This window comes from Homo sapiens, chromosome 15 (assembly GCF_000001405.40).
Source record: "Homo sapiens chromosome 15, GRCh38.p14 Primary Assembly".
Lineage (NCBI taxonomy): Eukaryota > Metazoa > Chordata > Mammalia > Primates > Hominidae > Homo > Homo sapiens.
The window spans coordinates 78,081,400-78,104,514 of NC_000015.10; the positions used below are offsets into that span (position 1 = coordinate 78,081,400).

The 23,115-nt window shown below is 49.1% G+C and overlaps 1 protein-coding gene across 5 annotated transcripts, besides 3 other annotated features; it reads left to right on the forward strand.

Moving 5' to 3' along the window:
• Positions 2,613-3,113: an enhancer, noted in NCBI's record as "H3K4me1 hESC enhancer chr15:78376354-78376854 (GRCh37/hg19 assembly coordinates)". NCBI's record gives its function as "activates a minimal SCP1, AML or CMV promoter by ChIP-STARR-seq in primed H9 embryonic stem cells {active_cell/tissue: H9 hESC(primed)}" and the evidence as "EXISTENCE:reporter gene assay evidence [ECO:0000049][PMID:30033119]".
• Positions 2,637-2,696: an enhancer, noted in NCBI's record as "active region_9908". NCBI's record gives its function as "activates an Ori minimal core promoter by ATAC-STARR-seq in GM12878 lymphoblastoid cells {active_cell/tissue: GM12878}" and the evidence as "EXISTENCE:reporter gene assay evidence [ECO:0000049][PMID:35858748]".
• Positions 8,723-22,963, forward strand: SH2D7 (SH2 domain containing 7). Of its 5 annotated transcripts, none has more exons than XM_017022487.2 (7): positions 8,723-8,826; positions 12,717-12,802; positions 13,987-14,044; positions 16,530-16,695; positions 16,985-17,197; positions 19,500-20,159; positions 22,066-22,963. In XM_017022487.2, exons 1-7 carry the CDS (start codon positions 8,762-8,764, stop codon positions 22,114-22,116), a joined length of 1,299 nt encoding a protein of 432 aa, XP_016877976.2. In that variant the 5' UTR covers positions 8,723-8,761; the 3' UTR covers positions 22,117-22,963. The 5 variants fall into 5 exon arrangements, with proteins under 5 accessions (XP_016877976.2, XP_047288898.1, NP_001094874.1 ...); XM_047432942.1 differs by lacking the exon at positions 8,723-8,826 and adding an exon at positions 11,162-11,361 and having other exon boundaries at positions 12,713-12,802; NM_001101404.2 differs by lacking the exons at positions 8,723-8,826; positions 13,987-14,044 and adding an exon at positions 11,162-11,361 and having other exon boundaries at positions 12,713-12,802.
• Positions 22,629-22,698: an enhancer, noted in NCBI's record as "active region_9909". NCBI's record gives its function as "activates an Ori minimal core promoter by ATAC-STARR-seq in GM12878 lymphoblastoid cells {active_cell/tissue: GM12878}" and the evidence as "EXISTENCE:reporter gene assay evidence [ECO:0000049][PMID:35858748]".

A 23,115-nucleotide genomic window follows, 5' to 3' on the forward strand; every position in this document is an offset into this window, starting at 1 on the left:
TGCGCAGCACCACGCTCAGCTAATTTTTGTATTTTTTGTAGAGATAGGTCTCTGCTATGTTGCCCAGGCTGGTCTCAAACTCCTGGTCTCAAGTGATCCTCCCACCTTGGCCTCCCAGAGTGCTGGGATTAAGGCATGAGCCAAGGTGCCCAGCTCTGTTATGACATTTTTATGATGACTATAAAGGTGACATGTTACATTTGTAGACATTTAATTAGATGTTCATTAATTCTAATTTTGCTGTTTTTCTTGGGTTTTAGAGCCAATACATTTTTCTTAGGCCACAAACATTTCACAGGCCTCTCAAGCAGGCAGGCCCAGGCACTGAGCTTTTTAGTATATTAGGGGATAAACTGGCCTGGCCCCTGCCTCGGTCTGGCCGGGTCCAGAATATGGCCCTCTGAGGAGGCTGCACAGACACAGGCCTGAGTCCCCAGTGAGAGTGGTAAAGTATGGAGGCCTCAAAGCCAACAGCAATGTCTCAGGAGGGTCCCCTGGAGGGCCCTGAGTCTCTGTCTACCCGACCAGGCTTAGGAAGTGGCCCAAGCCTTCCAAGGATCCCTAGAGCCTCCAGAATCAACCCTAAAACCCTCTTGACTCTCTAGACCTCCCCCAGGCCCCTCTTCCCCACTGACTCTCTCAAGACCCTGCTGAAATGCTTTTTATTTCGTGAACAAACCCTTCTCCCCTCATTCCTAGGGCCATGAGCTGAGGAGAACTAGGCAATGGGGCTTTATCTCATCTCTCTTAGTACCTCCATCTTCAGTCTGGACAATGTTTATAGTTTATGTAAATAGATATAGCTTCAGTTCTTCCCAAGGGCCTCCTACATGGAAATGTTGGGGCTGTCTCTGGTGGCTCCTAATTCCCTGAAACCCTTCGTAAATGGTTTGTTGACATCTGCAGTTCCTGAGGTCTCTTAGATTAAACAGTGATGTCCTGTGGTCAGGGCCAGCTTTATACAGCCTGTGTACCTTCCCTGCATCTAGTACAGGCATGAGAGGTGTTGAGGGGTCTGCCCTGCATGCCCATGTAAGCCCCTGCTTCCTCGAGCCGTCCAGGAACCCAGTGACCAGAAGGAAGTAACCACCCAGGAGGAAGTAGCTGGTGTTTACTGAAAAGGGGAAATTTGGGCAGTAAACTTGCTCCTACATGGCCAGCCTCTGGGAAAACCCTAGGGGAACACAGAGCCAGTGACTCATCCTAGGTCAGTCTCCCCAGAGTTGGTAGCATGTGCCCAGAGGCCTCTGAAGAAGCACTCACTGCACACTGCCTTTGTAGCTGTCAGACTCCAGGGAGACAGAGCTGGCCGAGATGCTGACCTCCCGTTGGAGGAGTGCACAGATCTGCAGGAGGCCCAGAGAGGAAAACAGCCTTATCACCTGTATGCTGTATGCCCCAGGGCATGTCCCTGCCCTCTCTGGGCTGCAGTTTTCCACCTGCACAACAAGGAGACGGATGGCTAAGTGATGTCCAAAGGCCTGCCCCTGCCTGCTCAGAAACACAACAGTGGCCTGAGACACAGCTGTGAGGGCCTGCAGTCATTCTTCCCACAGCTCTGCAGGCCAGTGGAGGCTATGCTCTTTTCAGTCCCACTGCTCAAAGCCCTCTGGACTGTTGCAGCCATCACAACCAAGCTGCCCCATCCCCTCAGGGCTCCACTCCATCTACAGGCTTGGCTGCCCACTGCAGTTGGTGCAAACATGACCCCTTTGAGGTGACACTTTTGCATCCTATGACCCTGGGCCCTGAAGGAGAAGCAGCCCTAATCGTCACCCCCATCCGGGGCACAAATGAAGGCCTTGTGTCCCTGAGGCAGACAGAAGCAGAGATAGCTGTGTTACTTGGGGGTTGGACAATGCTATCCTCGTAGGTCCTTGTGAAGGAAGTTGGCCTGATGAGGAGGGGATGGGGTGGGTGAAGAAGGTTGGGGGACTGGAGCTGTGAATGGGCCGAGCGCTGGAGGGCTAGGGGCAGGGCAGAGAAGAGCAAGCCCATCCTCAGAGCAGAGGATGCTTTGACCAGAGCACACAGCTGCCACAGGGAGACCCCAGACCAGAGAGAGGGCTTTCCAGGTATGTCCGCAAAGCTCTGAAAGGGGGCACCCTGCACCAAGCCTACTGCCCTGGTGGGAGGTTGTTGGGGGTACTGGGGCAGGGGTAGGGTGGTGGGGGAGTGGTTTCAAAATAAAGAAGGGGGCTGGGCCTGATGGCTCACACCTGTAATCCTAGCACTTTGAGAGGCTGAGGCGAGTGGATCACTTGAGCTCAGGAGTTTGAGACCAGTCTGGGCAACATGGCAAAACCCCATCTCTACAAAAAATTAGCTGGGCATGGTGGTGCATGCCTATAGTCCCAGCTACTTGGGGGTCTGAGGCAGGAGGATTGCTTGAGCCCAGGAAGTCAAGGTTGCAGCGAGCTGAGATTGCGCCACTGCACTCCAGCCTGGGTGACAAAGTGAGACCCTGTCTCTAAGTAAATAAATAAGGAACTATGGGCGCTTGGGCCAATCTCCCAGCCTCTCTGTGCCTCAGATTCCTCATCTGTACAATGGGGCATAATAACATTTACCCCTTAGAGCTGCTAGGGGCTTAAATGAGCCAGTAAATGCAAAACACTGGACACAGTCGCTGACGTACAACAAGTCTCAGTTTGGTAACTAATTCATTTAACAAACATCCCTGGCTCCTGCTCTTTGCCTCTGGCTGGTGATGGGTGGTGCTGAAAACTCACCACAAGACTAGGCCTGGCCCCACTGCAGGAAGCTCTCAGTTTTGTCAGGTGGGACAGCCTCAGAGAGAACAGCCCCAGCAAGGGAGCCCAGGGCTCTCAGACCATCTTGGACTGTGGACTCTGGCTTCCAGTAGGCCTCATTTCCCTACCAAATTGGCAGTCAAATTTGCATACCTCCTGGCTCTTTTTCTGAGAGGGAACAAATCTGAGGTGCTGGCCAATCTCCCAGCCCTGGGGCCAGGGGACCGAGGCTCAGACAGATGGAGGTCTGGGTGTCTCTGGGAGCTGATAGAGGGTAGAGGGTTGGCAGGGGCTTGGTACCAGGCAGTCAAGCCCAGCATGGGAGACAGGGAGAGTCACACTGCCCCAGGAGCAGGGGAGCACTAGACCCTGAGGAGGCAATGGGCCGCAGCTGCAGAGGCCTTGTGTCCTTCCTGTTACCACCCTGTTCCCAGGGCCTGGCGCCCGGCCCAGCACAGCGTAGTCCCCTCTGCCTTCACCTTTCTGCTTCCTAGAGGCCCTCATGCTGTCCCCTTCCCAGTGCCCCCATCACTCAGCCAAATCTGATCTCGGACACTTCCACCCTTCCCACACAAGCAGCAGGGACTAAAACCTACTTTGAGGCCAAGTCTGGAAGGTGGGGCATTTTAACTGACAGCTTAAAGAGATGCTGTTCTGATGGTGGAAGTTCAGGCATTCTTCTGGTTGGGCGAAGGGGTCTACGAAAGGAGTTTACGGCGTACTTATGTGAGCAAAGCAATGAAGAGGGAAGCGGGAAGAAGGCAGTCAGGATACATGAAGACAGGCACAGAAAAGACCCAGAAGAAGTAGATTCTGGAGTGGGAGGAATGTTTTTAAATGTGTTTCTTATTTGGAAGTTTGACTACATTGACTATTAATTTTGAATTAATGCATTTTTAAAGTATTTAAAGAATTTGGGTAGCAGGGAAAATGGCTGGAGCAATGGCATGGGAGGAGGATGCAGCATGTATAGGGGAGGAGGATGGGGTACGAGATTCTCGACTTGGCCCTGCCATGGACTTACTCCTTGTCTTGGACAGGCCATTTCCATTCTTGAGTTTCAGTGTCCCTGTCTTTATAATGGGAAAAAATGGGGACAGTAATGCTACCTTGTATACCTGCTATAAAGATGAAAGGAAATCATGTATGTGTGTATGTGAAGTACTTGGCACCTGGTAAGGGCTCAAAATCATTAGGAATCTACGGAGGACCTCTGTTTTCCCAGCTGTAAAGTGAGGGGAAGGGAGACAGGGATAGGACTAAATTGAGGAGCAAGCCCAGGGGCCCCAGCTGCCCAAGTTGCTAGGTGTACCAGGTCTCTGCAGCTGGGCCCCACGGTGGCCATCTGGCCTCCAAAAGGCTGTAGAATGAGGGTTCTCAAAATTATGGTCCTTGGCCCCTTGTCTTCCCTATGGTCCCTAAACTGATCCCAAAATCTCGTCCCTTCTCCAGCTGTCATGAGCAAACAGCAAGCAACTCTGAAGAATTTCACTTTTACATGGGACTCAGAAATACTCACTAGTGAGTCTGGATTATCTATAGCAAAATTAACTTGCGTCTTGTTCTTGCTGCTGAAACTGAGAGGTACACTGACAAGGGAGCCTCTCTGATCTAAGGGGTGGTTTTCCGCTCTGGGCTGTCAGGAGCAGAGACTACAGGCCCAGAGCCCCCCAGATGGGTGCTTTATGGCGCAGATGAGGTTGGCAATGTTTTTAAGACCGTGGTAGGTCCAGGGCACTCTCACCTTTGGAGTCTCCATCTCACTACTATCAAATATATGTAATTTTTAAATGGCATGGCCATATTTTACAATAAAAATATATATGTCTTTTGCTTTAAGCTTTTTGGAAAGGATTATTCTTATGATTTTGCTTTTGAAATGATTTGGCCTTGAGGAATTCATTTCACTTGCAATTGGTAATGATTTCTTGGCAGTCTTCTTGCACACTTGAGGATTTTTGTGAGCTAAGATAATCTGGCCTCCAAACCATTTTCAGATGTGATGAAACTTTTATGAATACGAAATGAAGCTGATGCAATATTACATAGTATAGACATTTACTTATACATTTATTCATTGTGATTTTGCATTTTTCTCCTTTTGAATTTTGGAGCCAATACTGGTTGTTTGTTTGTTTGTTTCTTCCAGGTCTCAGATCTTTTTATAGGCCCTTGGAAAGTTCCCAGCCCAGTACCTGGCCATTGTCCTAAGGATAAAATAGAACCACCTGTGTTTGGTGGGAGAAGGGCTGAGGGGGACCTCTCTGGACACTGCCCTCCCCAACCAGCAGCCATGTAGAAAGATGGCAAGACGAAGTCACTCAGTGGCCTTGAGGGACCAAAAGGATCACGATAACATTGGTGACTTCTCTGGACCAGCCATAGCCCTCTCCGCTGGTTTTTCCTGCATGCTGGGGGCCTCAAAATGACTGAAATTGAAAATATTATTCATTCATTTATTCAGTATTTACTGAGCCATAAATCAATACAACGCTTAACGAAAGCAATTTGGCATCATCTGCTAAAATGACAACTGCAAATACCCTTTGATTCAGCGATTCCACTTTCGAGAATGTGTTTCATGGATGTATTTATTCTTACACTTAATCAAATCCATATAAGGTTATCCATTGCTGCATTTTCAGGAATTAAAAAAAATTGGAAACAACTCAAATGACCATCAATAGAGGACTGGTTACAAAAATTATTATGTATTCATACAATGGAATAATATGCAGCTGTGAAAATAAGAATGGCACCCCTCTCTTTAGTCTTGTGGAAGGAGTGCCAAGATACACTGTTGAATTTTTTTTACAAGGCAAGGTGCAGAATGCTGTATAGTACTCTATCTTTTATGTAAGAAGGTGAGGAAAATAATATACACACTTGGCTGGGCGCAGTAGCTCATGCCTATAATCCCAACACCTTTAGTCCCAGCTACTCAAGAGGCTGAGGTGTGGGAGGATTGCTTGAGCCCAGGAGGTTGAGGGTGCAGTGAGCTGTGGTTGCACCACTGCACTCCAGCCTGGCCAACAGAGCAAGGCTTTGTCTCAAAAAAAGAAAAGAAGAGAAGAGAAGAGAAGGGAAAAAGAAAAGAAAAGAAAAAATATACATACTTATTTGGATGTACATAAACCCAGGAAGGACATTCAAGGAACAACTAACAGTGGTTATCTATGGGAATGAAATGTGGTTAGTAACTGGGTGGATGGGGTTAAATGCCTGGAGGAAAAATATTTTTACTGGTATCTTTTTATATTTGTCTTTTTAAATATTATGTTGATTTATCGTCTACTTGAATAATGAATTAAAATATATTTACTGAAGGCCAGGTACGGTGGTTCACGCCTGTAATCCCAGCACTTTGGGAGGCCAAAGCAGGTGGATCACCTGGGGTCAGGAGTTTGAGACCAGCTTGGCCAATGTGACAAAACCCCATCTCTATTAAAAATACAAAAATTAGCCAGGTGTGGTGGTGCATGCCTGTAGTCCCACCTACTTGGGTGGCTGAGGCAGGAAAATCGCTTTCACCTGGGAGTTGGAGGTTGCAATGAGTCAAGATCATGTCCACTATACTCCATCCTGGGCAACAGAGTGATACTCTCTCTCAAAAATAACATAAAATAACAGCATAAAACAAACCTACTGAGCATCTACCTGTGCCAAGCACTATTCTAGGTAAGGAATACAGTGGAAAATGAGATAGACAAATTGAGAAAAAAGAAATAGGATCATCCATTCTTCACTCCCCAGTGTTATAGAACTAATTCAGGCCTATTAACGAAACAACTTAGCGCTATGAAAATGTAATGTGCATAGACTAACACAGGCACATGACAAGCATTTACGGAAAAGTCCACTTAGGTGTTCCATCACCAGGCTCTGCCGGCAGCACTTGGCAATGAACGTAGCTTCTGCACAGGCTCAGAAAGAGAAGTGAAAGAGTCAGTGCTTGGTTAGGGCACATTCAGTGGGCCTTCATCGAAACGGCTGGAGAGACACTACCTCTGAGCAGCTTTCTGGAGAAACCTCAACCTGCTTCCTGAAAGGGCAAGCCAGGCTGAACACCTTCAGTAGATAGTCATTTGTGGGATAATCCATTACCATCTATTTGCGCTATAGGAAAAGCAGCCTTTTGAGAGAGGAGAACTTAGGACAGGGAAGTTTTGCTAGGGATAGGGACTTCGAATTCTGGGGACTTCCCAGTCCCGGGGATGACTTGCAGCTGTGGGTGAATCATGATGGCCACTGATATCTATTGCATATGCGCTGAGCCTCCCAGCCACTTCACTGCATAGATTAGCTCTGAGAATTCCTGAAACCTACCAGGTAGGTACTTTTTCTCCCTTCTATTTTTATAGATGAAGAAACAGACACAGTGAAGTCACAGAGCCAACAAGTAAGGGAGCTGGGATGCTAAGCCAATAAGTCTGACTCCAGAGCCTGAAGTCTTCTACTCCCTCTCCCTGTACCTCTGGGCCCCAGGTGGAGAAGGAGAGCAGGACTACTGCAGTGTTCTTTCTATGCCCAGGCCTCAGCACCCAGTAGGTGACCACACGTATTGAAATGAACAATGACACAAAGAGCACCGTCAAGAACAACCTTTTCCTACCCCGACCCTTCTTCATGGAGCTCACCTGGGCCTTGCCCCTCCCCAGCCCCACATTTCCACTGAGTATAGAGACCCGCCTTATTTGCCTGACTTTGGAATCTGACCTCTGGCCCGTAGCCATCCTGGGCTCTGCCTCCTTTTGTACATAAAGCCTTTGTCTTCTTAGGAAAATGACCAGGTTCTGCCCATAAAAGTATCCAGCCTGAAAGGAAGGTGGAGAGAGAGTGCATCATGGAAAATTATAGAAATGCATTTCTTTGCATTTGAATACTTATAGGATCTCACTTTTGGCAGCAAACCGACTCTGGGTTAGACCCCAGCATCCTTAGCCTTTTTGTGCCATGGACCTCTTTGTATGTGACGAAGCCTATGGACTTCTCAGAATAGACTCTTTTAAGTGCACAAAATAAAATACAGAGAGCAATGGAAATAAATTATATCGAAATAGGGTTTATAAAAATATTTGTGATATTACATGATATGTTTTATTGGCACATTAAATAACAAGATCCAGAGTTGGGTCTAATTACTGTAATTTTGAGGTAATGATGAGCAAAAATGATATCCCAAGAGTCCACAACAGCTGTAGTGTAATATGAAAATATCTGTTATTTCTGTTGGTAACAAAGTAACAGGTGCTGCTAACCCAGTGAGGTTTGTTCCCAGCATCATTCACCATGGAAGGAAATGCTGAATTCAATGAAAGGTTAGGGAAAATCAAGATGTAATCTTCCTCCTCCCTGTCTTGCCCAGTTTTTTTTTTTTTTTTTTTTTTTGCCATGGTCTTGCTCTGTTGCCCAGGCTGGAGTGCAGTGGTGCAATCATTGCTCACCGCAGCCTCAACCTCCTGGGCTCAAGCGATCCTTCCACCCCAGCCTCCTAAGTAGCTGGAACCACAGGTGTACACCACCACACCTGGCTAATTTATTTTTATTTTTATTTTTTTTAGTAGAGACGGGGCCTTGCTATGTTTCCCAGGGTAGTCTTGAACTCCTGAGCTCAAGCAATCCTCCTGCCTTGGTGTCCCAAAGTGCTGGGATTATAGGTGTGAGCCATCATGCCCAGCCCCCTTTCTCATTTTAAAGAGTTCCAGTCCTTGTCAGCCCAGGCCTGGGATTTCCGTTCTGATGCCATTATATCCCTGGCTTATGTTTGTGACAGGGAAGACCAATTAGCAAGCATGCGAATGATGGTTCCCTTAGGATGTCCCCTGGCAAGAGTTGACTCCTCCAGTGTCAAGGCTGGGAATTAATGGTTTATAAAAGTGATGTTCCTAGTAGTAGACCCTCCAAGAACACTTACTATGTGCCTATGTGCTTGTCCTTGTGAGAAAAGCACTATCTGTAGTAATTCACCCCATCCCCAGGTGAGCTAAGTATGGTTACCCTTTTCACAGATGGGGAAAATGTGGCTGAGAGATGAGAAAGAGCTCAGGAGATCAAGACCATCCTGGCTAACACGGTAAAACCCCGTCTCTACTAAAAATACAAAAAATTAGCCAGGCATGGTGGCACGCGCCTGTAGTCCCAGCTACTCAGGAGGCTGAGGCAGGAAAATCGCTTGAACCCAGGAGGCAGAGGTTGCAGTGAACGGAGATCGTGCCACTGCATTCCAGCCTGGGCGACAGAGCGAGGCTCTGTCTCTAAATAAATAAATAAATAAGATGAGAAAGAGCTGCCCAGATTGAGATCACAGGTTTGCCTCATGTCCTTGCGTGTTCTCTACACTATAAGCCTCACACACACCCTCACAGGCATTTTTATCTTGATTTCAGATAACCCATGATGATGTTGTAATAATAACAATAATTATAATTATCAACAGGAGCAGACCTTCTGTATTTCAGAATCTTGCATCACCATCATCATCATCATCATCATCATCATCATCATCATCATCAAATTAATAGCTAATCCTAGTCACTATGTTATTCCACACACTGTTCTAAGGATTTAACTAATCTAACCTTCCTAACAGCAGGACAAGTTAGATCATTTGGTTAAGGTCATATAGCTAGTATGCTGGAATTTGAACCAAGGAAATCTGGCTGTAACACCCTCATTTTTTTAAACTTTTTCACTGAAGTAGAACATAGACATAGAAAAATGCATGAACCATGAATCTTCACACAGTGAGCACTCTCACTCAACTCACTCAATCCACACTCACTCAACCCACCAACCAGATCAAGAAACAGAACACTGTCAGCACCAGCAGCTTTTCGCTCCCCACCCAGTCCCCAAGGTAACCACTATCTTAACTTCTATCGCCATTGATTAGTTCTGCCTTTTTCTTTTTAGATACAGGGGCTCACTATGTTGCCCAGGCTGGCCATGAACTCCTGGCCTCAAGTGATCCTCCCACCTTGTGCTCCCAAAGTACTGGGATTACAGGTCTGGCCTCAAGGAAAAATGAAACCAAGCATCTCTGTCTTACTTCAGAATGAGTTAGACAGAGATAGTTATATATCAAGGGCTTTAAGCAGGGGAAATGACAACAAATCACTTCAGTCATATTGTAACAGTACCTGCATCCTATTTTTGAACTTATATAAATGCCCCTTCATTATCAACCATTATGCCCTCTCACTTAGTCCTCATAATGACCCTAGAGTCTAGAAAATAGCTTTGCCTCATGCCCATTTTACAGATGAGGAAATTGAGTTCTCTGCAACAATTTAGTAAGTTTCTTGAGACCCCACGTCAGTCCCAGCTACTTGCCCAGGGTGGTCTCACATCAGTGTGTGGTGGAAGTGGGAGTATCACCAAGATCCTTGAGGCTGACTGCACCATCTGCTGCCTTACCATCCACCCGGCCTGGATTTCTGCTAGGAAACTCAGAAACACATTAGATACTCAGGGATGTTTGTGTGAACAAATGGTCCCATTGCCCTAACTGCTCCAAAGCTTCCTACCACAGGCCTATCCCTGCCTTTCCAGGGGACCCATCTACTCCAAAGTCCCCTCTCTGTTAAAACGACATGAGCTTCTGTTTTTTCTTCAAAATCTGCAACAAAGTCCCACCTCTTCGTCTTTGCACATGCTTTCCCCCTGCTGACAAGAGTCTACTCCCCTAGGTACATGCTTGGCTTCCTCCTTCACTGTTCAGTGTCACCTCCTGGACAAGGCTGACCCCGACCCCTGACTCTGTGTCTGCATAATGCAGCCCATGTGCTCTCTTGTTCTTCTGCCTTTGTCTTGGAGTGCTTATTCCATTTGACTCTATATTCTACACATATATTTGTTTGTCTCCCTCTAGAATGTATGTGCCATGAGGGCAAAGTGCTGTTTTATTCACTGCTTTATTCCCAGGGCCCAGATTTACATGGCACACAGTAAGGACTCAATAAATCTTGAGTGGATGGAAGACTTGGTTAGCACAGAACTTCTCCATCAAAATAAAAATAGCCTCCACGAAGGAAGGATACCTAGAATTTAAATCCACTGCTTTGCTCCCAGGGGCAGTGCTGTGGACTTTTGCCAGGGTCTGATCTTTAGTTGTGACAAAGACAGGAGGTTGTGGGGAACAGGGCCAAACCCAGTGAGGTAGCTTATCTGCTGGCCAGGAAGCCACGGAGGGCCTTCCCTACCCCTCTCAGGCTGCTACGGTGATTGTTCCCCCATGTCTGCAGCCAGCCAAGGTGCCCCACCCCAAAGCATCAGAGGAGAGAACCAGCCACCAGCCCAGAGGTGACAATGGGGCTGCTGTGTGCTATGGGCCCTTGGGTAGGGCACGGGCTCAGGCAAATGAGCCAGAGCACACGCAGATATAGAGGCATGTGCACTGGCTGCGCTCTGCTTCCACTCTGGTGCCTGCCAGCATGGAGGACAGCCTAAAGCAGCTCAGCCTGGGGAGAGATCCTGAGGGGGCAGGGGACAGCCAGGCCCTGGCTGAGCTCCAGGAGCTTGCCCTGAAGTGGTTCATGGAGACACAGGCCCCCTTCATTCTGCAGAACGGTGCCCTGCCTCCCTGGTTTCATGGATTCATCACCCGCAAGTAAGGCTGCTTCTACCCACAGGTCCCTCATAGCCCACAGCCCCTTGGGGCTGAGAAAATGGTCTGGGAACTCTGGATCAGACTGGTTCCCATCCTTTCCCTGGGCTAGGCAGGGGCCCTTGGAGGCGGGGGGCAGGGGAACAGACTGAGGAGCGCCACATCCTCTGGTGGTGGCTTCTGTAGGCAGAGTCGGGGAGGGCAACGGCCTCTACTTTAGTACAAGTTGAGGATGGCTGGGGCTGCCAGGCTGCCAGAGGACAGAAAGAGGGCCAGGCCCTGACTTGATGAGTAACTAGGGGACCATATCTTTTATCGTCCAAACCGGAACACTATTAGTAACTAAGCTAGGAGAACCGTCATAAATGGGGCCATCCCAGGCAAACCTGGATGCATGGTTATCCTAGGTATAAAGGCCAAGATACAGGTTTGGCTTTCTATTTGGGCTGGGTCTCCAAGCAGCCAAAACACCTGATGAAGGAATGGCAAATCCAGCCAGTCCTTAGGTCCTGGCACAGCACCTGCACAGAGCCAGGGCCAGCTTTATGGTCACTGACTCGTGCAGCAGCACAGGGTCAAAAGGGCTCCACATTTGGTTTAATGCTCTGCTGTCACTGTCTGGAAACTCTAAATCGTTTTGAACCAGGGGCCCCATGTTTTCATTTAGCACCTGGTCCTGCAAATGATTTAGCTGCGTAGAACAGGCGCTCGGTATTTGGTGAGTAAGTGAGTGAGGGAATACATATCTGGTCTGTGTACTGCCAAACCACAAGACAGCTGGAACTTTTCTTCATGCCTCCAAAGTATTTGGCACCATGTGGAAAATCTCTGTAACTGCCTGGGATTGAAGGGGACAGGAAGAGGAATGAGTCCCTTTTAGCTGCTTCAGACACAGCAGCATCTTCTCCCTGCAGAAGCTTGTGTGTAGTGCACATCCTGCAGCACTGTACACAGTGGTTCTGAGGGAGGGACTCCCCACTAAACCTCAACATCTCCAGCTGTGTGGATTTATTCTTGCTACACAACCATCCAGGTGGAGAGTGGGTGGCCAGGGTCAGCAACCAATGTGCCTGCTAGTGAGGCTGCAGTGGGGAGTTGGGGGGGTTGCATATGGCTTCAGACCCTGACCCAGCCCCAGACAGTCTTGAACTTAATCATTTGGGCTCAGATAGGCCACATGCTGAACCCTGACAGGCCACAGACCCATCCACAGGTCTGAGTGGCTCCTCTATAAAGGGTTGGAGGTCTGGAACCCAAAGGCATGGCCAGCAGGGATTCCAAGAGAGGCCTAAGTCAGGCTGCACCTGCTGCCATTAGGGCACAGACCCCAGCTAATGGCATGTCTTCTGCCCAGGCAGACGGAGCAGCTACTCAGGGACAAAGCTCTTGGTTCCTTCCTTATCCGCCTCAGTGACCGAGCCACTGGCTACATCTTGTCCTACAGGTAAGAGGGGAAGCCCTCTGGGCAAGCAAGCTCATCCTACCATAACCTAGCCTTGCAGATTAGTGCAGAGGCCCCACTGGCCCAAATTGCCTAGATTTCCCTGGGTCCTGACTCCTGAATCCCTCAATCATCCATCACATGCTCAGCAGACACTTCCTGAGCAGCACTGGCCATATACTAGGGATGAAGACACGGCCTTCAAAGGAGGTGAGTGGGGTTCGGGGAGGCTTCACAGAGGTGAACTTTGAGCCTAGGATAGAAGGAAGAATACAAGTTGCTAGGCAGAAAGGAGGGTGTGGTTGGGGTTTAGGAGGGTATCTCTGGTAGATGGAACGCCATGTGCAAAAATACAGAGGCATGAAAGACAAGGGTGCTGGGGGAGCTGCAGGGTGCTGGGGGAGCTGCAGGTTGCTGGGTGCAGCAGAACACTTGGTTCCTTTGGAGGAATGCCTGGAAGGGAGGGTGGAAAAAGCTTAGAATGGCCTTGGATGCCTGGCTAAGTCTGTAGACCATGAAGGATGATCTGGTTCAATGTATTTGCATAGGTCCTTTAGGCAGCCTATGGAGAGAGGACTGGAAGTCAGAGCTGGAGGTGTGGGGGCACTGGGGACTCCTGCAATTGCCTGGATGTGAGATAATGAGGTCTAGGCTAGGGTAAGACAGTGGGGATAGAGAGAAGGAGACAAGGTAGCGAGGACAAAGGCAAAGATGGTGATGTCAGATCTTGTCCCAAGAGTAGGTTGGTCAGGACGGGGAATTCAGAGGAGGTAAGAAGGCTTCCCTAAGTAGGGAGGGAGGCCAGGGCTCCAGAGTAAACTTAAAAGGCTTCAGATTCTGATTCAAAATTGTCACATATTCAGACTGCCCCAGTTCAAACCCTTACCTTGAGCAAGTTACTTTGCTTCTCTGTTCCCCCGTTTCCTCATCTGTAAAATGGGAATATGATAGTACCTGCTTCATAGGCTTGATGAAAGTGTGCAATCAGTTGATACGTTTAAAACTGTTTAACACAATGCATAAAATGTAGTAAGGACTTTAAATAAATGTTAATCATTGTTAAAATATTTTTATTCTGTGTGCCAGACACTGTGCTAGGCATTTTGAAATATACTAACTCAGTAGTTTTCAAATGTCTTTTGAGCTTTGGGGATTTTTTTATTTTCTTTTGTTTTGTTTCTTCCCAGGTGAGATCTTAGGGAGAATACTAACTTATAAAAGAGACCAAAGTGGGACCGCCCAAAGGTATACAAATAGAAAAATTAACAGAATAGAGTCCCAAAATAGTCCCAAATGTTTGGTTACCAGATTTACAACAGAGGCATCACTGCAATTCCGTGGGGGAAAGGCTTGTTTTTTCAATAATTGGTGCAGGAGCAATTGGATATCTAAATGGAAAACAATTACTGCTACCTCATACCATACATGAAAATTAATTAATTCTAGATGGATCGTAGATCCAAGAAAGAAAAGCAAAACAATACCATTTCTAGAAGAAAACAGGAAAACATTGTCATAGGTAAATGAAAATGCCTTTGAAAATGAGAGGCCAAGTTTTTTTAAACAGGACACAAAAAGCGCTAATCTTAAAAGAGTGATTAACTTGATTTCCTTAAAATTAAGAATTTTTTAAAATTTATTTATTTATTTATTTATTTTTTGGAGACAGAGTCTCGCTCTCTCGCTCTGGCTGGAGTGCAGTGGCGCGATCTCTGCTCACTGCCACCTTTGCCTCCCGGGTTCAAGCAATTCTCCTGTCTCAGCCTCCCAACTAGCTGGGACTACAGGCACACGCCACCACACCCAGCTAATTTTTGTATTTTTAGTAGAGATGGGGTTTCACCATATTGGTCAGGCTGGTCTCAATCTCCTGACCTTGGGTGATCCACCTGCCTCAGCCTCCCAAAGTGCTGGGATTACAGGCGTGAGCCACTGCACCTAGCCAAAATTAAGAATTTTTATAATTCTTATAAAGAGATATTATTAAGAGAAGAAAAAGGTCAGGGTGCAGTCTTGAAGAAGTTATCTATTAGAATACAAATATCTAACAAAGGACTCAAATCCAGAATATATAAAGAACTCCTACAAATAAATAAGCAAAAATAGATAATTCAATAAGTAAAAGCAAAAGAACTGAGCAGGCACTTTACCAAAAAGAAAAACCCAGAAGGCCCATAAGCATATGAAAACATGTTCAGCATCATTAGCTATCAGGGAAACACAAATTAAAGCCACAATGGATGGCTATAATGGAAAGACAGAATATGTGGAACAACTGGAGCTCTCATACATTGCAATAATTTTATTTTATTTTTGAGATGGAGTTTCACTCTTGTCACCTAGCTGGAGTGCAATGGCACAATCTCAGCCCACTGCAACCTCCGCCTCCAGGGTTCAAGCAATTTTCCTACCTCAGCCTCCAGAGTAGCTGGGATTACAGGCAACCACCACGACACCGGCTATTTTTTTTTTTTTAATTTTTAGTAGAGATGGGGTTTCACTATATTGATCAAGCTGGTCTTGAACTCCTGACCTCAAGTGATTTGCCTGCCTCGGCCCCTCAAAGTGCTGGGATTACAGGCATGAGCCACTGCACCTGGCGCATTGCAATAATTTTAGAAAGCAATTTGGCATGATTTACTAAAGCCAAACACGGGTGTACCCTTGACCCATCAACTCTACTCCTTGGTATATTCACATCAGAAATGAGTACATATTCACCAAAAGATATGCACAAGAATGCTCACAGCAGCTTTATTTATAACAGCCCAAATCCGGAAACTACCTAAATGTCTATCATCAGAATAGGTACATGGTGGATTTTTCATTAACTAGAATACTACATATAAATGAGAAAAAAAAGAAACTAATTCTACTTGGACATGAATCAATCTCCAAGATATAATGTTGAGTGAAATGTGCTAGACACAAAAGAGAAGTATTATAGAAGTTCTCTAATGGGCAAGACTAATCTATGCTGATAGGCGTCGGAATGGTGGCTACCTTTAGGGGGCATTGACTGGATGGGAGCGCAAGTAGGTCTTCTGGGGGCTGGAAGGGTTTTGTATCTTGACCTGAGTGGCAGTTACATGGGAGGGTTCCTATATGGAAATTCATCAAGCTGCACATTTATAATGTACACACATCACTGTGTAGAGGTTATTCTTCTAGGAAAAAGGGAGATGAAGAGGGTAGGATTTTAGGGTGGGACTTTACAGGCCGAAGAGGGGGTGGGAGCTGGAACTCCATCATTGCAGCAGGGTGGGGAGTAGGGTGAGGTTGAGTTGTACAGGTGCAGGGTTGGATCCTGTCTTTATTTAAAACTTTGGTGTTTTGTTCATTGTGGATTTTTTTCATATATTTTGATTTTCTAAAATACTGCGTTATTAGTTTTCTTTATTGAGTTTTTTGGTGCCCCTTTAAATTTCGCACCTAAGATGAGTGCCTCACTTGCCTCACTCCAGTCACAGCCGTGCTCTCCCTGACTCCACCAGAGCAGGCTTAGGTACTTCCCAGGATCCCAGGGCTCCACGGTTTGAAAACCTCTCCGTAGCTTCCTGATGAACACACCATGGCTCCAAGTGGGGTACAGTGGCCCCAGGTCAGGCAGGTCTGTTCTGGATCAAGAGCTGGGACCCCTCACCTGCACCCAGGCACAGAGCTCAGACCCTGGGCCAAGGCTGGGCTGCCTGTGACCAGCAGCCCCAGACCACAAGCACTTGTGTTGCAGGGGCAGTGATCGCTGCCGACATTTTGTCATCAACCAGCTTCGAAACCGGCGTTACATCATCTCAGGAGACACCCAGAGCCACAGCACCCTGGCTGAGCTTGTGCACCATTACCAGGAGGCACAGCTCGAGCCCTTCAAAGAGATGCTGACTGCTGCCTGCCCCCGGGTAGGCGCCCCACTTCCCCAGGGTGAGGGTGGCAGGGCAGAGAGCCCAGGCCTGGGGTATCCATCACTCAGACATACTCCTTTTCAAGCCCTCCCTATTTACTATCACCCAGGGGCACTTGGTGTGGGGTCATGATCCCTATTGGAAAAAGGGAGACTGTGGCAATGTCTTACCTGAGGTCAGAGACCTGGTGGGAATGTTGCAGTCTCTTACCAGCAGTCTCAGGCAGGCAGCTGGAGACTGGCTGGGCATGTGTGACCACATACCTGCCGTATCCGCATGCTCCCAGCCAGAGGACAATGATCTGTATGATGCCATCACCCGGGGCCTCCACCAGACCATCGTGGACCCAGAAAACCCACCTGCCACGGCATTCCTCACAGTGGTCCCCGACAAGGCCGCCAGCCCCCGCTCTTCTCCAAAGCCCCAGGTCTCCTTCCTCCATGCACAGAAAAGCCTGGATGTGAGTCCCCGGAACCTCTCCCAGGAGGAAAGCATGGAGGTGAGGAGCATTATGGGCCACCTAGAGTCAGGGTTGCCAGACCAGGGATGTGGGTGCCATGCTCCCAGTCAGACCCTGAGGCCAGGCCAGCCACTCCCTCCGGCTGTGGAGGGTGAGCCAGGCCCAGAGGTGCGGACCCAGCTTGGAATCACCCAGGGTTCACCCGTGCCATGGCCTGCCTGTGGCCAGTTAGATTTGGTTCAAGCCTTGGCTTGGCCATTTTCTAGCGATGTGGCTTTAGGCGAGTCACATAATTTCTCTGAGCCTCAGTTTACCATGCCTGAGGTTCTTGTGAAGCTTGAATGAGAAAATGGATATGAAATGCCTGAATATCCCTTAGTAAGCTGTAGCATGGGGTGCCTGTGAGTCAATATTTTATTCTTCTCCATAGCACCCCATGGACTCAGAAAGATTTTTCTTTTCTTTTTTTTTTTTGAGACAGAGTCTCGCTGCAATGCCCAGGCTGGAGTGCAATGGTGCAATCTCAGCTCACTGCAATCTCCGCCGTCTCCTGGGTTCAAGTGATTCTCCTGCCTCAGCCACCCGAGGAGCTGGGATTACAGGCACCTGCCACCACACCCGTCTAATTTTTGTATTTTTGGTAGTAACAGGGTTTCAACATATTGGCCAGGCTGGTCTTGAACTCTTGACCTCAAGTGATCCGCCCGCCTTGGCTAAAGTGCTGGGATTACAGGCATGAGCCACTGTGCCCAGCCATTTTTATTTTTATTTTTGAGACAGAGTCTCGCTCTGTTACCCAGACTAGAGGGCAGTGGCACCATCTCGGCTCACTGCAATCTCTGCATCCTGGATCCAAGTGATTTCCCCTGCCTGCGCCTCCTGAGTAGCTGGGATTACAGGTGCACGCCACCATGCCTGGCTAATTTTTTTTTTTTTTTTTTGTATTTTTAGTAGAGACGGGTTTTCGCCATGTTGGCCAGGCTGGACTTGAACTCTTGACTTCAGGTGATCCGCCTACCTCGGCCTCCCAAAGTGCTAGGATTACAAGCGTGAGCCACAGCGCTTGGCCGAAGGATTTTTCTTTATATCAGATCACAGCATGCCAACAGCTTCTCCTCATATTTAGAATAAAACCTAAACACTTCACTGGGGCCCACAAGAGCCTCACCAGATGCCCTGCTACCCTCTGCTTCTTCACTGGAGGCTTCAGTGAGGCCTTTTCATTGGCTTCTTTGGCCTTCTAGATCATCCTTGAACATACCAACCTTGCTCCCACCTCAGGGCCTCTGCACTGGCTCTACCATCTGCCTGCAATGCTCTTCCTACAAGATATCTGCATGGTTTACACTCTAACTGCATTCCATTCTCTTCTTAAATATCACCTCCTCAGAAAGGCCCACCTACATGACAGAAAATGTTGCCTTCCCCACCTGCCGTTCTCTCTATCCCATGACCCTGCTTCGTTCTTTGTAGCACTGATCATGCCCCCACACTCCATTGTCTTGTGATATATTCACCCATCATATAGCACATCAAACCATATTGTGCTACACAGCGCAGCAGTAGGCTGCCCATCTCCCAGATTAGAATATAAACTCCCAAGAGTTAGTCTTGCTCACCAGAGTCCTTGGCACCTAGGACACTGTCTGGCACATAGTTGGTGCTCACTAAATATTTGTCAAATGAGTGATGGACTTGGAGATGGGCCATTCTGAAGGGAAATGCAGCAGTGAGTGGGTTTGGGGCCACTGAGGGACCAGTGGACCACAATGGAGGTGGGAGGAGCACGGGAAGGGAAAGTTGGGTGGGAGTGCTGGTGACCCAAGGCCTTGAATGCCAAGGTAAAGTACGAGTCCTAGGCCGGGTGTGGTGGCTCACACCTGTAATCCCAGCACTTTGGGAGGCTGAGACGGGTGGATCACCTGAGGTCAGGAGTTCGAGACCAGCCTGGCCAACTTGGGGAAAACCTGTCTCTACAAAAATACAAAAATTACCTGGGCATGATGGTGGGAGCCTGTAATCCCAGCTACTCAGGAGGCTGAGGCAGGAGAATAGCTTGAACCCAAGAGGCTGAGGTTGTAATGAGCTGAGATTGCGCCACTGCACTATAGCCTGGGCAACACAGCAAGACTCCATCTCAAAAAACAAACAAAAAAAAGAACAAGTTCTAGAGCATGAGCGCTGGAAGGGACCCTGAGTGTCATGTATCCAACCCTTGCATGTACGGGCAGGAGGACTATAGCCAAGACAGGGGGCCTCGGCTTATCTGAGAGAGTTTTTACTGGAGGGCATCTTAGTGATGGGCTGCCCCTTAAGAGTTTCTCTGTCCCTGTCTCCCCAGGCTCCCATCAGAGTGTCTCCACTCCCTGAGAAGAGTTCCTCCCTCCTGGAAGAGTCTTTTGGAGGCCCCAGTGACATCATCTATGCAGACCTGAGGAGGATGAACCAGGCACGGCTAGGCTTGGGCACAGAGGGGTCCGGCAGGCATGGGCCAGTTCCAGCTGGCAGCCAGGCCTACTCCCCAGGCAGGGAGGCCCAAAGGAGACTCTCAGATGGAGAACAGAACAGGCCTGATGGCCTGGGGCCTGTCCTTTCTGGGGTGAGCCCAGACCAGGGTCCCACAGAGTCTCCCACTTCCTGGGGATGTTCTGATGCCATGGGATCCCTGGGGGCTACCTGGAGGCAGGAGTTTCCAAAGCTGAGCCAAGAGGCTCAGCCCTGCTCCCAGGGCAGCTCTGCAGATATCTATGAGTTCATCGGGACAGAAGGCCTCCTGCAAGAGGCCAGGGACACACCAGACCAAGAAGGCAGCACCTATGAGCAGATCCCAGCTTGCTGGGGTGGCCCAGCCAGGGCCCCACATCCTGGGGCCAGTCCCACATATAGCCCATGGGTCCATGGCTACAAGAGGATCTCAGGGACCCCAGAGCTCTCAGAGCCTGGGAACACCTATGAACAGATCCCAGCAACCAAGAGCAAGGAGACTGGACGGACACACAAGGTGAGCTCCATGATGGGGTGGGGCGGCTCCCAGCCCTTAGAGAGCACCTGGTGGTAGGAGACAACCTGAAGCCCCCAGGCATAGGCAGGTCAGGTCACCGCCACTGCCTGGAAGTACACAGAATTTTCCAGCCCTAATATCTGCCTAGAAGTGGTGGTGGTGGTGGTGGTGGGAGAGGCAGCTGCTAGATTTGGATGTAAGATGGGGGCTTCCAGGCCCTTCTAAGGGCATTCTCTACAGCAGATCAGGGTTCCCATCCCCTCCGTCTCAGCCTCTGCAGGGGTCTTAGCGCCTCTGGGAGCAGGAGAATGGCCCCTTTGCTCCTACTCCCTCACCTTGTAGCTTTGGGCAAGACAAATTCCAGGACAACCAGTTAAACCTGAATTACAGATAAACAACAAATATTTTTGAGGCCAGGCATGGTGGCTCATGTCTGTAATCCTAGCCCTTTGGGAGGCTGAGGCAGGTGGATTGCTTGAGCTTGGGAGTTTGAGACCAGCCTGGGCAACATGGCAAAATCCCATCTCTATGAAAAAATACAAAAAATTGCCAGGCGTGGTGGCCTGTAGTCTCAGCTACCTGGGGGGCAGAAGCAGGAGGATGGCTTGAACCTGGGAGGTTAAAGTTGCAATGGGTCAAGATTGCACCACTGCACTCCAGCCTGGGAGACAAAGTGAGACCCTGTTTAAAAAAACAAACAAAAAACCAAACCAAAACAAAACAAAAACCATTTTAAAGTATGTCTTAAATACCACAATTATTCCTTTGTTTATCCGAAATTTAAATTTAACTGGCATCTATATTCTTGTTTAGCAACCCCACCCAGGACCTCCATTTCCTCATCTGTAAAATGGGCTGATCCTCTGCTTGTATCCAGGGGTAGGTGCCCAGAGGATAATGCTAGACACCCTCTCCTGCTCAGAACACAGCCCAGAGAGGGCTCTTGATGAACAGAGCTATTATTCTGAGGATCTCTGGGGTGGTGGTGGTGGTAGTGGTGGTGGTGGTATTGGTGGCAGAGGCAGCTGCTAGATTTGGGTGTAAGCTGGGGGCTTCCAGGACCTTCTAAGGGCTTTCTGTGCAGCAGACCAGGGGTCCTTTCCCCTCCCTCTCAGTTTCTGCAGGGGTCTGATAAGTAAGGAAGAGAGGGGACCAGGAGTGTGGAGAGCGGTGGCCAGGAGTGGGGCTGGTTCAGGGTTCTCAGGGAGGCAGATGAACTCTCTGGAGCCCTCGGTCCCAACTACACTCTGCCTATACCCAGAGACAATAAAACCTGAGAGTCCCTTCCCCATGGGCAAGTCCTCTGATCTCAGTCAGGCACACGCGGATCTTCCTGCCTGGGCTCCTGGTGGAAAGATCTTCCTGGGAAGTGCTGACGGCTCCTCCCTCAGGGCAGGGCTGTGCCCACACACCCCATGGATAGCAGCCTTTGAGATCCTCACTCTCTGGGGACCACAGACCTGGCAGTGGAGACCCTCAGAAGCCACATCCCATGTCTGCTCTTTCCCTGCGGCTGCCCCATGTCCTCTCCCATCTCTGTGGGCCTGGGTACAGCTTCACCCCACCCTACCTCGGACACCAGTGCATCCTGAGGCCCCCAGCTGTGGGTCAGGGGAGACCAGGGCACTCCAGGGAGGTAAGGTGAGGCTCGCCACCCTTTCTACCCTCCTTCTTCCCCTTCTCTCCTTAGCCAGAAGAGGGTGAACCCTGCATCTGAAATTGGGGAGCTAAAGGTGGGATTTCGGGCACTGGGAGAGGCTTGTGGAATCAACTATCAGAATTCCAACCTGGCCTCATGTCCTAGGCTTGGGCCCCCAACCCAAGGTCAATGAGGGGTCCTCGGAGCCTGGGTCTTTCCCTCCCTGTCCAGCGACCCCAGGCCCCAGTATCTCCTCCTTCCTTGCAGCCTGACAAGCTTCGGAGGCTCTTCTTCACGTACAGGAAGCACAAATTCTGAGGGCCTGGCATCCGGCAGCCCACCAGTGGGTTTCCTGGTACCCAGGCCATGCCAGGGGTTATCGCAAAGGCCTCAGCTCACTTGAAGGCACCCTTTGGATCTTGAGACTCATCCAGCCTGCTACAGAACTAGGCTCCGAGACAGCCGAGGTGCCTGCCTGAGAGCAGGTGGAAGAGGACCTTGCAGGTGCCTGCAGCTCCTGGCTATGTCCTGCTTTCCTTGTGCCTCCCATCCATGCACAGGAGGGACTGGAGAGGAATGAGATTGGCCAAAGGCAGGGGTCACCACCCCCATTTCCCAGATAAGCATGCTGAGGCCCAGGCAGACTGACTGAACCTGCCTCCCACTACTGAGCACTTACCGAATGTGTGGCAGGCTGTGTGCTAGCACAGACACCTTTCTAACTGGCCAAGTGACATCATGCAATTGCTACCGAGAACAAAACCAGTTCCCCTCCTTGCGGCCCCATCAGCGAAAAGGAGGGGAGGGCCAGAAGCCACATCCTCTGCTTCAGGCCTCTTCGCTCCAGCTGTACCCTCAGGTCAGGCTGGCTCTTCCTGGAACTCTGTCCCTCAGGAAACTTCCTGTTTTGTGTGTCACTTCCCTTCCTATCCACATGTCCCCTTCTCTATAAGGGTGGACAGCTGGCTTGCTACCCCACTCCCAACAACCCCCAGGCCTGGGATGCAGAAAACAGGACTGATCATCTCCAGAGAGAACACCATACGTGCCCCTCCTCCCTGCCCTGACCCTGGGCAGAGCGGGCTCAGGTTGCATTTGTGGGAAATCTACTCTTAGTGACCACTTGGCTATGCAGCTTTTCCTGAAATATAGGCCTGTAAGAGTCCCTCCCTCCTTGGGGGTTTAAGGATTGAGACTGAAGCAACTGTCCCTGTGCCTGAGTGGTTAGCACTCCCAAATGTTAACCAGAGATACTGTCAGGGAATTCACGGAAGGTTCGGGGCATGAATGTGTTTTCCTCCCGATGGCACACGCACT

Bases quoted from the DNA above. Each gene is read 5' to 3' on its own strand.
- SH2D7 (NM_001101404.2), top strand. From the start codon at position 11,186: ATGGAGGACAGCCTAAAGCAGCTCAGCCTGGGGAGAGATCCTGAGGGG. The intron at 11,362-12,712 runs GTAAGGCTGCTT...TCTTCTGCCCAG, and splicing joins CATGGATTCATCACCCGCAA to GCAGACGGAGCAGCTACTCA. The intron at 16,696-16,984 runs GTAGGCGCCCCA...GCATGCTCCCAG, and splicing joins TGACTGCTGCCTGCCCCCGG to CCAGAGGACAATGATCTGTA.